Below are 16,895 nucleotides of genomic sequence, written 5' to 3'. Positions count from 1 at the left end.
ATCAGACACCAATTATCAAAAATTACAAATTCAAACAAAAGATAAAATCTGTCAGTTATCAAACTGGCAAAGATTAGAAATTGATAATACTCAGTATTGATGGGGAGATAAAGAAATGAGTATTCTTACATATCAGTGGAAATGTAAATTGGATAGTTTGGCAAATAAGATCAAGAGCAATGAAGAGGTCCATAATCTTTTGACACAGTAATTATACTTTTAGGAATGTTTCTCAAACCAGAGATAGACATTAAGATTTATGTATAAGATTTCACCATAGCATTATTTATAATGGCAAAAAACATACACAAAACAAGAAAGCTTTGTAAGCAATTCAAGTATTGAACGCTAGGGAAATGGATATATAAGTTAACAGCAAACTGTATAATGAAACGTCATGCAGTTAATAGAATGACATTTTTAAAGGCAGTGGAGGATATCAGATAATATTAAGTGGGAAATGAAGGATACACAATTGTCTTTTTAATAGATGATGCCAATATTGACATGAATGTGTGTGTTACATAGAAATAACATTGGAAATAAATTTTAAAATGTTAGTATTGTTTCTCTACAATTCTGGGTAATTTTTCTTTTCTTTTTAAAAACTTTCCTGCAACTTCCAAATTTTGTTATGAATATATACTGCTTTTATAATCATAAAAAATCAATGATATTGACCAAAAGGAAAGCAAAATAAGGAAAACATATATGTGACAGACATCATGATAAAAGTTTACTGTTTAAGATAAAAAGTTGATAGAGATGATCCAACTAAATGTTGAAATTACACAATATTTACGGAGTGGTTAAAACATGAGGAAAGAGCAGGGCGCGGTGGCTCATGCCTGTAATCCCAGCACTTTGGGAGGCTGAGGTGGGTGGATCACCTGAGGTCAGGAGTACAAGACCAGCCTGACCAACATAGTGAAACCCAGTCTCTACTAAAAATACAAAAATTAGCTGGGCGTAGTGGTGGGTGCCTGTAATCCCAGCTACTCGGGAGGGTGAGGCAGGAGAACTGTGTGAACCCAGGAAGTGGAAGTTGCAGTGAGCCAACGTCATGTTGCTGCACTCCAGCCTAGGTGACAAGAGCAAGACTCTGTCTCAAAACAAAACAAAACAAAACAAAAAACATGAGTAAATAATTATGTAAATCTATAATGTGGAAAAATGAATATCTTTACTAGAAAGAAAATACATAAAATAGTTCAAAATTATTAATAAAAAGTGTTAAATTAAAAAATAAATGGAATGACAAAATTTAGTGGGGATACAGGAAAACAAGAATATTTATACACTGTTTATAGTATTACAAATGGGGGGATCTTTATGAAGACCAACTTCTCGAATATGTTGAAGAACTAAATAACATACCCACAATCCATGCCACAGGACTGAATAATTCGACTTCAGGAAATGTAGAGTCATTTGATATTATGTGATAAAAGGATTTTGATAAAATCTATTATTACTTGATCAAATTTCAAATATCATTTGATAAAGATCTACATAACAAGACCATTTGTAATGGAAAAAATTATGAACATTAGCAACAAAAGGGAGATGGTTAAGCAAACTGTGTTACCTTAACCTGATAGACTTCCAGAGTTATTTAAAACAGCACTCTGTGCGCTACCCCAACACATAGAAATATACACACACAGTTAATAATAAGTGAGCAAAGAAGGTTCCAGGGAATACCACAGTGACACAAAATTATATGTATGTGCATAGCCAAGACCTGAAAGAATGTGTAATTGAAACAGAAGTTAATATATATTATATACAGTGGGACCTTGGTTAAGTTCATAATAAATTTTTTGGTGACAATTTTGTGATAAGGGCTGAACAGAACAAATTAGATAACCAATTTTTTTATGGGTAGTAAAAAACACATAACATAAAATTTACCTTTTTAACCATTTTTTTAAAAAGTGTATCAATCTACTTTCCAGACTGCCAGAGTACACTGATACACTTTTTGGTTGTTACAGAAGTACTTAGCTTGGCTAATAAAATCTTCACAAATTCTTTCCACCTGTTTTCTCAAGTACATTCACATTATTATGCAACTATCACCACTATCTACCTCCAGAACTTGTTCATCATCCCAAACTGAAATTCTGTACCCACAAAATAATAATTCTCCACTACGAACTGCCCTGAGTTCCTGGTAACTACTATTCTACATTTTCTCTATAAATGTGCTTAATCTCTGTACCTCATATAAGCAGAATCTTGTCATATTTGTCCTTTTGTCCTCTGGCCTATTTCACTTAGCATAATGTCTTCAAGGTTCACCCACGTGGAAGCACACATCAGAATTTCTTCCTGAATAATACTCCCTTGTATATATATGCTACGTACAATTTGCATTTTTGAAACTTCTTATGGTTACTGAGCCAGACAAATGTTACCTCCTTGCTATCTACACTTCACCTTATTTTAAAGGAGGCAAGGTCTGCCTTTGCAAGCAGAACAAATCAGTTCTCTCAGTACTACTTCTGTGCTGAGGTGTGTGTGTGCTTGCTTAGTTAACTCTTGCAGGGACAGGTATGACCAGATGACTATTAAAACCAGCAAGGTGGTACTTATGAGAGGTTCCTTAAAATGTCAGAGATGTGGATGTGGAAATAGCAAGTGAATCCTGGGCTGCTGACAGTCTGAACACAGGTCACACATTACTGATCTGTATTGCAAGTCAAAATCCTGCACGATCAACTATAAATGTTGATGGATGGGGCATCTCTCCTCTGCTAGGTAGATGCTTTCAGGCTTGTGGAGCCTTTGAGAAAATGGCTGATTTTTAACCTATCTGGCATCTGGATTGATGATATAAATAAAAGAAAAACTAGGATAGATTGTCCTCATCTCTTCTGAAAGGTGCTAGTGATAGCTATGAATGCGTATCACAAAGGAAAAAGCAACACTGAAAATGCTAAAACAACGTAGCGATTACCAGTCATTTGCCTTATAGATTTCATGACCTTGTGTAATAAACTTGTTGGAGACTGAAGATGCTAAACGGAATACATTTCATCTCTTGCCCAACAATATTCTATGTATTTCTAGCACCAACGTACACAGAGGTCAGTGTAGGGTTTGTAATGAATATACTAGAAACACGTTGGTATGATGACAAAGTACCATTCCAGTTTTAAAAACAAACATAAAAGGCGAGAATAAAGTTTATTTCAGAATGTATGCTTTGATAATTAGATCAAACAACCATTAAACATATCAAGCCACAAGGTAACTCCTTAAATAAGATTTGAACACCCAGCGTAATTAGGATAAAAATTTCTGATCTGTGCCGTGTACTGACAGGTGTTACCATAATAAACAGAAGGAGTTTAAGCTTTGGAGGCAGCTATATCTAGGTTTAAAGGCTGACTCTGCTGCTTTAAACTTGTGAAAAATTATTTAACCTGGCTGAGCCTCAGATCTGTATGATATTATCTACATCACTGTGCTGTTGTGAGATTTTAAAATGATTCCATTAGCATGTATTATAATATTTAATAGGCACACACTATATGGAAGTTAAGAGTATACTGAGTGTATTATCAATTTTATGCAAATAATTTACCCTTGGAAGCTATAATAGATTTTATCCTTCATTTCAAAGCTTACCTCTGGCAGGGAATGGTGGCCCACGCCTGTAATCCTAGCACTCTGGGAGGCGAAGGCAGGAGGACTGCTTGAGCCCAAGAGTTGAGATCAGCCTGGGCAACATAATGAGACCCTGTCTCAAAAAACAAAAAAAAAAAGCTTACCTCTGCCAGGTAGGTAACCATATTCAAGGTAATGTCAGCATATGCTTCATGAAGGTATCGACAGACCACATTGACCCACGTGGCACAGTCCCTCGTGTAGCTGTGCGTTTTATAAAGAGTCATGACATGTGCAAGATTTGAAAGTTTGGGGTTCTTCTCTTCTAAACAAACCTTTTAAAATAAAAAAATCAATTAGGAATAAAATAGCCCAATGAATAGGAAGAAATGTTAGCAATTTTACTATAAGCTCTGGCCATCTGGAAAGTAGATTGATACACTTTTTGGTAATTACAGGAAATACTTAGCTTGGCTAATATAATTTTCACAAATTCTTCCCACCTGCATTCTCAAGAATGAAAGCAAGCAAGACAATTTGCATCAGCCACCCCTATATTTCCATTACTGTGATATTAGTTATTATTTCCAGTTTTTGAGAAAATCACTGCCATCTCTGGGCCTTGTAATTTGCCTGACACTAGGGCGTCCTGAAGGCCTCTATGGATCTGCCTGAGTGTGGAACTGTAACTCATACCTGAGCAATCCTTTCGGCTATATCCTTACAGAACTGATTGGGATTTTCAAAATGCTGAATCAGCTGAGGCAGGAGACACAAGACATTCAGTGGAAACCCTGGATTAGAGAAGATACAATGGAGATAGCTGAATATGGTATATTTTAGCTGTTAACAGTGGGAAGGCATGTTACAGATTTTTATACTGAGGTGATGCAAAAGCAGTTTTTTGAATCAGCTTAAACATGATCTAACACAAAATCTATGAAAAATGCACAACCACAATTGCACCAGTTACAAAGAAGACAGTAAAGTAGATCTGCGATTTTAAGATGCAGTGATTATCTTGCACTGGACTATTGTGAATAAGGATGGCTGGCCCAGATGTTTTTGGCGCAGATTGAACTGAGCCAAACTGAGTACTAGTTTGAAATTTTTATCAAAAAAACATATTTTAAGAAAAACTGGTGTGAGAGGACATAGGCCAACCAATTTAAGTCTTAGTCATGTAATTGAAAAGACTCTTTAAAATAAGGAATGGCTTAGTCCCTCTCTGTTAAGCGATAGCTTCATGAAATGAATTCTGGGTCACATGCCATGGCATTAAAAATCTGGTTTGTTGGCTGGGCATGGTGGCTCACACCTGTAATCCAAGGACTTTGAGAGTCTGAGGCGGGTGGATCACAAGGTCAAGATATCGAGACCATCCTGGCCGACATGGTGAAACCCCGTCTCTACTAAAAATACAAAACTTAGCTGGGCGTGGTGGCGTACACCTGTAATCCCAGCTACTCCGGAGGCTGAGGCAGGAGAATTGCTTGAACCTGGGAGGAGAGGTTGCAGTGAGCCGAGATCACGCCACTGAACTCCAGCCTGGCGACAGAGCAAGACTCTGTCTCAAAAAACAAAAACAAAACAAAACAAAACAAAACAAAAAGACATAAATGAAAAATCTGGTTTGTTGATTTGGGTTAATTCAAAACAAGAGGAAACCAACAGAATTTCCAAGAAGAACAAAAAGCAGAAAAGCAAAGAAAAAAATAAAAGATTTAGGAGTTAAGAAAAAAAAATTTTTTTTTTCTGTACGAGAGCAATGGAATAAACTAACAGCACCTGCAGTTTGATCTGGAAAGCTAAAAAGAAATCGCTAATATCTTAAAAATAATTTTGGCCCCTTTTATGCTACTGCCTTAAAAATATTTTCTATAATACAGATCATTGAGATTTACATTATATAGAATTTTATGAGAAAAAATAAACTACTCCCAAGGAACCATTTTTAAGCAGAATTGTTAAAAGCAGTAAGTTCATATTATCTTATTGTACCAAATGATGAACACAGTCACCATCAGAATTGAGACAGGGTGAACGAGGCTGGCTTTACCAATAGCGTGGGATGCATCCACCATGGATATTTTGGACACTGGTGTCAGCAGACTGAAGAGCTGCAGGGTCAGGTCTGTGGTGGTGAGGGATGTGAATCCTTTCAGCAGCAGCTGCTGCAGCCCGGAGAAGTCGGCCCACTTCAGCTGTGCCTGGAGTTTCTCAAGCTTTTCTCGGTTCTCAGCCTTATCGAGTGGCATATGTGCCAGTAGTCTGCTCAACAGCCTTAAGGCCATTAAGTATTCAAACTCAAAATCAGACTCCATCAAGGCCACTGTGACCCAGAATATGGTGGCCAGCAGGTTGGTGGGATGGTTTATGTGGGATGGGTCCGTGAGACTGTCCTTCAAGGAGGATGAGCTTCTGGTTTTTGAGGAGAGGCCTTGTTGGGTACAAGCCTGAATTCTGTCCAGTGTGGCACTTCGAGGTGGGTCAGAGGATCGGTCGATGACACCAAACTTCTTGGGCACAGAGAAGCTTCGTTGATGCCGGCTCCGTTCGGCAGTTGCGGTGTTGCCGCTGGTGGTTCCCGGGTTCATGTTTAGTTGTCCTGTGCTCTTTCTGCTTGCTGTTAGTTTACTGCTGGAGCTTAAATCTGGTGAGGAAGAGCTGGGTATAAAAATAAATAAGTTTAATAGGATGCCAACATGTGTCACCAAAAGCCAGTCCTTTCAAGTCCACTGAGAAACACTGCAGGAGGGAAATCATTCTTTAGAAATGCCACTTTCTATTCATTTATTTTTCCTTATCTTTAAAGCTATAAAAAACAAAACAAGAGAAACCCTCATCAACAAAACAAAAAGCCCAATACTGACTGCTACTTCTTGAAAATGTAGAGGAATCAATAATTGGCCTTAAAGTTTACTGATATTTCATTTATGTTTTGCTTGAATTTGGGTAGGAGTAATTATGAAATAAAATGTACCTGATAGGTATAAGCTTCAATATTCTGTTAACTGACTGATAAGGAGAACAGAAATGGGAATTATGCTATCCAGAAAGAAGCTGGTAAATGTTCATGTCAAAGGAAATTTTTGGTACTTACCAAAATTTAAGAAAAATTATTTCTAAGTCTATGCTGAAAAGGTAAAACTCTTTGTCAACATTCTTGCTATATTTTTACTGATTTAGATAAATCTTTATGTTAATATAGATAAATATGTGTGATGTTTGTAATCATACCAAAATTATCCATAAAAAATGCTCAACTTAAAAATAAAACAAGGCCCAATCGGATACAAGATAACATTACCGACTCAATTTCAAGCAAGATGAGCTCAATAACACAAACAGAATATAGAGTCGTGAATAATTTGAAATGAATTATTAAACATTGGCAGGAGCAAAAAAAAAGATACTGAGGTAGGAATTTCTTTGAATGAAGTCAACATTTATTCCAACTGTTTTTATGGCAACAGTTCAGAAGCTTTGTATATATTCATTTAAAAATAATATTTAGCTTTTGCTTCTCTTTACCAATGTAATAAATAGGATAATTATTACATAAAATTTGGAAAAATACTCAGACAAAAAAAGAAATGAAAAATTATTAATATTTTATCATTCAGAGATAACACTTAGTATCTATCTTCCTGATGTTTTAAAATACTTATATAATGTGTGTGTGTGTGTGTGTGTGTTTGTGTGTATTATGACTTCTTTTTTAACTTAAGAAAGTATTACACATACTTTTTCAGGTCATAAATATACTTCAAAAACTAGATTTTTTCTTTGTACTTTTCCTAAAGTCCAGCATCTCCCAAATACTCCTGTGCAGTATACTTGATGTCAAAGTATCATTAAGCTGATTCTCACCGGGACAATACAGTTAGGAGGTCACTGTTCTTCAAGCAGTCAGACAAGTTATCCACAGCCGCCTCCAAGGTTAGGAGCGCTTCCATTACATAACCCTGCCAAACATGCAAAGATAGCATTTTGTATTGCTTGTAACCATTGTTAATTTCCTAAGATAAATTTAATTAATGTAAACTGTATTCCAATAATGTTATTGCTGCTTTAATTTATGAAGTCTAAAATAAGCTTTAAGGGCCACTTAGGAAATTCAGATGGCTTAGGAGTTAGCAGATAATCATACAAATTTATTTTCCTATGTCTAAGAGCCTCAACAGATCACTTTCATTTGAAATTCAACAGCGAGGGGTAAGCATGACCCTCTGCTGAGGGGAGGGTGGGCATTTGAAATACAGAGTGGCAATGTCTGAAAGCCACAGATCAAGAGGAGAGGTACAGGAAGAGCTGCCTCCGTGGTGTTTTAAACAGCACCTCTGATGGCTGAAAGAAGGAAGCAGGTAGTGTCTGTAGGTGTGCAGGCTTCCTCAGATGCAGGAACATTTCTTTTTTTCTGAGATGGAGTCTCACTTCCGTTGCCCAGGCTTGAGTACAATGGCACGATTTGGGTTACTGCAACCTCTGCCTCCTGGGTTCAAGTGATTCTCCTGCCTCAGCCTCCTGAGTAGCTCGGATTATAGGCGTGTGCTACCACGCCTAGCTAATTTTCGTATTTTTAGTGGAGAAGGGGTTTCACCGTGTTGGCCAGCCTGATCTTGAACTCCTGGCCTCAAGTGATCTGCCCGCCATGGCCTCTCAAAGTGCTAGGATTATAGGCTTGAGCCACTGCCCAGCCAGGAACATTTCTGAAGGGAAAGAAGGACTTGGCCGGAGCCAGAGAGCTTGTAATGCCAGCAGCTCTCAACCTGTTCAGCTTCCCAATCTCTGGGCTCTATCTTGAGGGCCTCCTTGTGGCAGTCACTCTCCATTCCTTCTTCAGCTCTTCTCAGTCTACTGGAGACTAACCATAGAGAGAGAGGTAGTGCTTTGGACAGATACAGTGGAGGTCCCTGCTCTGGGTAGGGAGACTGTATAACTGCATCCTAGGTTGGCAGCCAGAAACCCCAAACTATACAAAATAATCCCCTGGCCGCCTGCCAAATAAAACCAACCACAAAAACAACAAAGAAGAAGCCACCAGAGGATTTCCAGTTGTTGGCTTATATAAAAGAGATAATATCCACTGAATTTCTAGAACAAGGCTCCTTGGAATAATTTTTGTAAATATAAAAGTCAACCTCTAAAATTGAAAAAATATATTGTACATGTCCAGATGGCTGGAATAATTGTTGACAGAAGAAAGGCTCAAAAATAGTTTACACCTCATTGAGATGAGAGAGCTCATCCTTCACGAGCTCAGTGGTCTTCCCTTCCATACCTGAATCTCATCTCCATGTTCTCCTATCACCTCCACCAATCTTGAGAGAAGGTCAGATAAGGCATGTGCTGACAGAGGTTGCTTGAGGGCCCGGAATATCTGGAAGGACCGACCAGCATAGTGCCTTGAAGAGCTTGCGAGGGCTGTCTGCAATGCAACTTCACTCAACTGGTGCTCCAGATGGAAGCCTAGGGTAACAAGAGCCACAGAATAGGTCAGTCTCTACTCTACATGCTCTGGGGCATCAAAGTTACCTCTAAGTTTAAAACAGGCTAACGGCACAGGGCTACCTTGTAGTGGTACTTATTTACAAGTCAACCATTTTTTTTTTCTCTTTTTGAGACAGGGTCTCACTCTGCTGCCCAGGCTGGAGTGCAGTGGCATGATCACGGCTCACTGCAGCCTCTACCTCCTGGGCTCAAGTGATCCTCCCACCTCAGTCTCCCAAGTAGCTGGGACTACAGGCATGTGCCACCATGCCTGGATACTTTTTTGTGTTTTTTGTAGAGATGGGGTCTCACTATGTTGCCAAGGCTGGTCTTGAACTCCTGGGCTCAAGTGATCTGCCTGCTCTGCCTTCCTAAAGTGCTCAGATTACAAGCATGAGCCACCACATCAAGCTTTTTTTTTTTTTTTTTTTTTGGAAACAGGGTCTTTCTTTGTTGCCCAGGCTGGTCATGAACTCCTGGGCCCAAGAAATCCTCCTGCCTCAGCCTACTGAGTTGCTGGGATTACAGGAGTGTGCCACTGCACCCACCTCATTTTAAAATAAAAACAAATTCTGAATAAATCTTAGGGAGGTATAGTGTAGTAGAAAAAGGCTTTGGAACAAGATGGTCCTGGTATTGAATCAGAGGCTTTCTAACTCTGGGAAAGGAATTTGTTCTCCATGAGCCTGTTTCCTTATCTTTAACTTGTCTCGTACAGTTGTTGTGAAAATTAAACAACTTACAAAGTGCCTAGTATAGTGTCTGAAACATAACATAGGTTCACAAATGTATTCTTATTTATTACTCTGCTATTTTCACATATTATTCTTCTGTACTACTTTTTTTACATAGAATACTCTCCTTTTTTTGTAAGTTTGTTAGAGTAGAGGAAATTTCAGAAGAGAGGAAAGCTGTTAGTGGATCTATTCAACTCAAAACACAACTAAGGCCTGTGCCAAAGTCTTTGCTTTATTGATATGCAGATATTGAAGTGTAGATACTGTGAAGAAGGCAGCCATAATTTAAACTTTTGCCTGAATATTTGTTTTTCCAATTGTACAAAGGTAATCTCAGTAATCAGAAAACCATTTGATCAGATGGGAATGAAAATGTAAGATAAAGCTCATGACTGAATTCTAGGTCATTAAATTATATACTTGCTGTGCCTCTCTGTAGGGAGAAAAGCAGACTACAAGGGTAGGAGGACTGAATGAAAACAGAGACTTAGGCTGTCTCTATGACACAGAGGCTCTGCAGCACATTTGGCTGCTACATGAAAGTGGGCCAGAAGGGATAATTCAATGTCATTGCTCTTAGTTGCAGCTTGGCTACTTGACCCTAGGGACAAATAGATTATACAAGAAAATGTTCCTGCAGAGAAAACAGAGGGTCCTGGAAAATTGACTTCAGACACATTCAGGGTAGTAAACGTAGGATTAAACCCATGTAGGCTGCTCGTATCTTATGAATGATGCTTCAAAAAAGCTTTTTATGTCTTTATTTTGTTTATCAAAATAAAGGTTTGTTTACTTAACCTATTTTTTTTTATATGTGGAAGTTAGGTACCCTGGCAAATGATTTTGTGATTTTATGTGTGGAGATTAGGTACCCTGGCAAATGATAAATGTGATTCAAATGAGCAAATGCTCATTTAAATCACAATGAACCTGAAGGCTAGAACTGTACTAGTAGGACCTCAGACTCCACCATCACAACAGTGTCCTTTGAGAAAAGGAAAAGGTTTCTTTTTCTTTCCAGCCACACAGTGAATCTATACTTCCCAGTCTTCCTTGCAGTTAGGTGTGCCCAGGTGCCCGAGTTCTGGCCCATGGGATGTGGAAAAAAACCCACTGGATACCCCATTTAAGCCTGGGGTGTCAACTCATCCTGAGGAATCCTCTTCTCACTCTCTCTTCTTCCACCTGCTGGCTGGATGCAGAGGGCCCAGCAGAGGCCTCAGCCTAGGGGGTGGCACAGCCTCAGGCTGGAGGGTCCTGAAGCACCTAGCGGAAGGCCACCTGCCAAACACCTGCACTGAACTGTTACAGGACCCAGGAATAACCTTCTGTTGTGTTAAGCCTCTGAGCTCTGGGGGCTGTTTGTTACAGCAGCTATGCCGCCCTGACTAACACGTGTTTCCAGGAATACATTGTGTATGTATAGAGAAAACAGGCCAAAAGCAGGGATGTACAAGGAAATCAGAATCAGTAAAAATTGGTCAAGGTGCAAAAAGACTTAGACTTTATGCAGCCTGAAGTACCCTCCAAGAATTCAGCATAAGGCATTTATACATTTTCTCATGTTTATTATTTTCATTCAATCCAAGATTTTAGATTAATTAATGGTTTACATACAAATAGTAAACTGCTTCCTTCAGTCTGTGTTCAATTATTAATTGGCTTTTGAGGTCCTCATATTTTAAACAAATTCCAAAGGGGAAACTCAAAACTAGAAACGGAAGTCTATTCCTAGAAATGACTCTCCCATTTCGGTCTGTCAGTATCTTTTGTTTTTTAGTAAGTGTCCTCTGATAATGAAAAGATATGTGGCTAATCCAAAATGTTTCAAACTGGGAAATGTGCTAATTACCAGAGCAGCTGGAAAAGCCAGGGAGCTGGATTTAATATTGCCAGCCTGGTGTGAGGAAAAAAAGGTAGAGATGGTTTTACAACATGTTGAGAAACCGGATTTAAGTTTCACACACAAATCAGCCCAGGCCAACTTGGACCTGAAGGAATTCAGCAGAAGGCAAACACTTAAGTATCATAATGCTAAAGGAGTCACACTGTATTTAGAATATTGAATAGTCATCTGCACAGGAATTGTTAGCAAAAACTTTTAAAGCCAAAAACATTTTATCACAATTAAAAAAAAATTGTTTGACCATTCAACCAGCCATTTAACCAGACTATTTTTCATTGTTGAGACTGATGAGAGTCAATGAGATTTATTCCTCATAGCCTTCTTTAAAGAAAATGTTATAGGCACAGTTTAATTCTAGTAAGGTAAATGAAAGAAGTAGAACAAGTATGTTGGGAAAATTATTTGATATAGCATAATGCAAATATACACGGCATTAAATACCATGCAGTTAGGCAGCATCTGAACAAGCTTCAGAACTCCCCTGTGAATATGCTCGTGCTATGGATGTGGAGTGCAGGACCGTTTTAAGGCGCTGTAATCATCATATAGAGACAGTGTCCATTACAGAACAATGCTGAAAGAGGGATCTGTGCAAATAAGATGAAGTACCTGATTTGGAATCTTTAAATACAGATACAACGTGACGTAGAAAATTAGTGAGCTGTTCAGCACTCTTTGAATTTTGATTTTTAGGTGTGATGTCTTCATGGCACCAAAGTGGACCAAATGCCCTTAAACAAAACACACAAAATGTCAAAAATATAACTGTCATTTTGCATTTTTAAAACTACACATACAGTCCTGACTCCAAACATATAACATATTTAAATTTTTTGCAATCTATGCATCTGACAAAGATCTAATCCCAGCATCTATAAGGAACTTAAACAAATTTACAAGAAAAAAAACCCATTAAAAAGTGGGCAAAGGACATGAACAGACACTTCTCAAAAGAAGACATACATGCAGCCAACAATTATATAAAAAAAGCTCAACATCACTGACTATTAGAGAAATGCAAATCAAAACCACAGTGAGATACCATCTCACACCAGTCAGAATGGTGATTATTAAAAAGTCAAAAAATAATAGACGCTGGCAAGGTTGTGGAGAAAAAGGAAGGCTTTTACACTGTTGGTGTGAGTATAAATTAGTTCAACCATTGTGGAAGACAGTGTGGCGATTCCTCAAAGATCCAGAGACAGAAATACCATTCGACCCAGCAATTCCATTACCGAGTATATACCCAAAGGAATATACATTGTTCTATTATAAAGACACATGCATGCATATGTTCACTGTAACACTATTCCCAATAGCAAAGACACGGAATCAGCCCAAATGCCCATCAGTGACAGACTGGATAAAGAAATATACACCACGGAATACTGTGCCACCATAAAAATGTACAAGATTATATCCTTTGGAGGGACATGGATGGAGCTAGAGGCTATCACCTTAGCAAACTATATATACACCATGGAATAGTGTGCCACCATAAAAAGGTACAAGATTATATCCTTTGCAGTGACATGGATGGAGCTGGAGGCTATCACCTTAGCAAACTAACGCAGGAACAGACAACCAAATACCGCATGTTCTCACTTATAAGTGGGAGCTGAATTGTGAGAACACATGGACACATTGGGGAGAATAACACACACTGGGGCCTACTGGAGGGCGGAGGGTAGAAGAGAGAGAGGATCAGGAAAAACAACTAATGGATACTGGGCTTAACATCTGGCTGGTGAAATAGCCTGTACAACAAACCCCCTTGACACACGTTTACCTATGTAACAAACCTGCATACCCTGCACATGCACCCTTGAACTTAAAATGTGAGTTAAAAAAATATTTTAAACAATTTTATGAATTATTTTGGAAGTACATTTCAGTCTTATAAACCTTATCAGCATAGTCAAAACACATCTAATTTATAGAGTCATTTTAAAATGTTTTAAATTAAATTCATTTACAAAATTAAAACCTCCCAATTCACCAGAACAGTGCTTGGCATATCATAAGTGCTACATGTTTGTTTGTTAAGTAAAATGATATCAAATGTTAAGTGAAATAAAGATTTAGACATGGACTCAATTTTCACATTTTAGCATTTGCAGAGATAAGGCTTTTATCAGGATCACATCAAGCTGCAAATACCGTACAATCAAACTGAATACACAGCCTCTGTCATCTACTTGGTTTTCAACAGTAAGAATGGAATGGAGCCAGGTGGGAGAACTTCAGAGGAGAGTTATTCCAAACACGTGGTACTGACAGATGGTGAGTGGTGACAATACTTTTCCTTTCCACAAATCATGCGGGTCTCTGAAGTACCCTGTATGTGCAGGCATACTGTATGTAGGCACCATCAGCTCCTGTCCTAAGCTTCCTGCACATTAAATCCCACATTAAGTTGAGAGCTGCACAAAATAACCTGAATCATGAATTGTGGAAAGAAAATACTCTTTTTTTATTGTTTGCATTAATTGATGCATTAGCTGAAGAAAGCAAGATCACATGAGATATTAGATAACACATACACAGAGTAGATTTCCAGGACTTAACTCACTGAGAAAGGGGAGCATGCCACCCAGTCACAAGTAAGCATGTTTTACACAACTACCAGACCGCAGGGTGTTAGAAATCCTGAAGCCTTACAAGCTAAATGGTTAATAAGAAGAACCAGAAGACCTAACCAGTACCACTTGCAGTTTTTCTTGGTTTTGATTTATTAGTTTGATTCCTTTCCTATTATGCTTCCTATTGTTTCTGGTTTCTGACTGCCTTTTACAAATGACTCTTTGGACCAGATGAACAGACAATGGTCCCCTTGGCAGCTGCTTCTGGGTTGATCATGGCTAATATCCTTGATTTCCAGAGTGAAGTTCTCTGCCAAGTCTCAGAACTACTAACCCCTGGCAGCTCTGATAGATGGCTAAAGGCATGCTCACTGTGGGGCACTACCATCTCCTGCCTCCATCTGCTGCATCATCATTATCCACAAAATCCCCTTGCCCATCAACTGTCACATCAGTGGGATCCTAGAAACTGCTATTGATGTCTGCCTTTCACAAATTGTAATTCTCTGTATCTCAGTGTCTGTTCACACAGACTCCAGCAGTTGCAATTGAGAAGAGAAACAGGACTTTGTTAGAACCCCAGGATCACTTTTCCATCTGTGTGGTTTAAAGCGTTGGCAATTTTCCGAAAGACCAACCTGCAAACAGCAGCGGACTCCTAACCCCTTATTACCTGGTCGTGAGAAACTCAATGAGCTTGTTTGCCTTCTCATCTGTTTCAGCAGCTGTGTCCACATCTTCTACCTCCTGGGTCATCTGTGGGAGGTTTCCACTGCTGCCTCCCAGACTGATGCTAGAGGAGGTGGAGCTTGAACTAAGCCCTGAGTCAGGCACCGGGGATGACTGGTCCTCTCTCAGGAAGTCAAAGCCACCTGGTGGGAGAAGAAGGTCAAGGAGGGATGTACTAGGCAGTGTGCTTGTCAGCATGCTTAATGAGGTCCACAGAGGAGGGCAGGGAAGTGTGGAGTTATTTAAATTCTGGGGAGAAAATGGTTGCTTTCGGCTGTGGCTATGATTAAATGAGACTGACAGTTTTTCTTTGTTTAGGAAATCAGTTGCACTGCTGTGTAAATGAGTGTGTATTTGGGAATAGGAGGTGATCTGCTGCTTTCTACTCTGCTATTTTAGTTGATACTTTCTATAAAAGGAAGGTATGTATGCGTGTTTGTATGCATGCATGGACCAGGCAAACAACCAGTTCAACTGTAACAGTTCATCTACTAACTGTGCTCTTAATAAATTATTCCTGGGTATTAGTCTTCTTAAACATGTGAAACGGGCTGGGCGCGGTGGCTCACGCCTGTAATCCCAGCACTTTGGGAGGCTGAGGCGGGTGGATCACAAGGTCAGGAGATCGAGACCATCCTGGCTAGCATGGTGAAACCCTGTCTCTACCAAAAATACAAAAATTAGCCGAGCGTGGTGGTCGGCACCTGTAGTCCCAGCTACTCGGGAGGCTGAGGCAGGAGAATGGCGTGAACCCGGTGGGTGGAGTTTGCAGTGAGCTGAGATCGCGCCGCTGCGCTCCAGCCTGGGAGACAGAGTGAGACTCTGTCTCAAAAAAAAAAAAAAAAAACCATGTGAAATGATACCCTGTTTGAGGATACCAGTCACTTAATGGCTGGTTACTTTTACATAATATTTTTGAGTAAATGTGCCCAGAAGCTTTAGTATTATGTGTATATTGATATATTTTAATAGAATATGTTTTATGGTATTCAAAGAAATATGGCATAAGCAAATACTGTTTCTTCATTATATACTTGGTTGACATTCTATACCTCTGGGTAGGCTGTGGGTTTGAAAATGTATATATGCAACTATCCCTTTTCCCCTATTTAATAATCATAAAAAGTATGTAGTGCTGGTGTGTGTCTGATAGATATACTGAATTAGAAGTGAGGAGTCCTGGGTTTGAATAACATTTCTGCCACTTATAGTGTAGCCTCAGGGAATTTATGGAATTCTCTGTATCTCAGTGTTCTATTATAATAAAGTCAAGACAATAATTTCTGTCACACACATTTTTAGTGTGTATTTAAAGCAACTATAGTTGAAACTAGGTGCTTAATAAATATTTATAAAAAAAGAACATTTCCCATAATCTTTGTACACCTATTCCCTGTGTCCTGTAGAGCCAGTCACTTTAGCTATCTACTGTTTGTCTTGCCTATGAATATTGTATGCGTTTTTGGTAAATCTTCACTTTAAATCATTTATACCATATCAGTGGTATAATAAATGCAAAACTGATTACACAGAGATACCCAACTTATCAGATATTACAGTTTTCTCTGCCTAACATTTAAGAAAGTACATTCTTATCCTCAGGACTTAGAGCAGCTAGAACTCTTCAGTTTAAACATCTACAGCAAAGGGAGTTTTGTGTTTCTAAGAGGCTATTGATAGGTTATTTTCAATTAAGTGTAGCTTGGTTCAAAGTGAAGTGCTTAAATTGAGGTCAGTAGGCCTTAGGTCTTAGAGATAATGATGATTTCATATTTGTTTTCCAAACAACTATGTTAACATCTGTTAGAAGCCAATACAGTGGTGGGTACAAGT

General features: G+C 38.8%; 1 protein-coding gene across 6 annotated transcripts in view; it reads right to left on the bottom strand.

Moving 5' to 3' along the window:
* The window catches only part of FRY (FRY microtubule binding protein), a 267,352-nt gene that overhangs the window by 55,465 nt on the left and 194,992 nt on the right, over positions 1-16,895 (bottom strand). For all 6 annotated transcript variants that reach the window (XM_047429999.1, NM_001411012.1, XM_047430000.1 and 3 more), the window contains 7 exons: positions 15,007-15,205; positions 12,361-12,482; positions 8,900-9,087; positions 7,489-7,583; positions 5,675-6,282; positions 4,312-4,409; positions 3,780-3,950 (listed from right to left, as the gene is read on the bottom strand). In XM_047429999.1, the coding sequence (XP_047285955.1) occupies positions 3,780-3,950; positions 4,312-4,409; positions 5,675-6,282; positions 7,489-7,583; positions 8,900-9,087; positions 12,361-12,482; positions 15,007-15,205 (1,481 nt within the window). The remainder of the gene's footprint in view (positions 1-3,779; positions 3,951-4,311; positions 4,410-5,674; positions 6,283-7,488; positions 7,584-8,899; positions 9,088-12,360; positions 12,483-15,006; positions 15,206-16,895) is intronic.

This window comes from Homo sapiens, chromosome 13, assembly GCF_000001405.40.
Source record: "Homo sapiens chromosome 13, GRCh38.p14 Primary Assembly".
Classification (NCBI taxonomy): Eukaryota; Metazoa; Chordata; class Mammalia; order Primates; family Hominidae; genus Homo; species Homo sapiens.
This window is presented reverse-complemented; position numbering and strand designations above follow the sequence as displayed.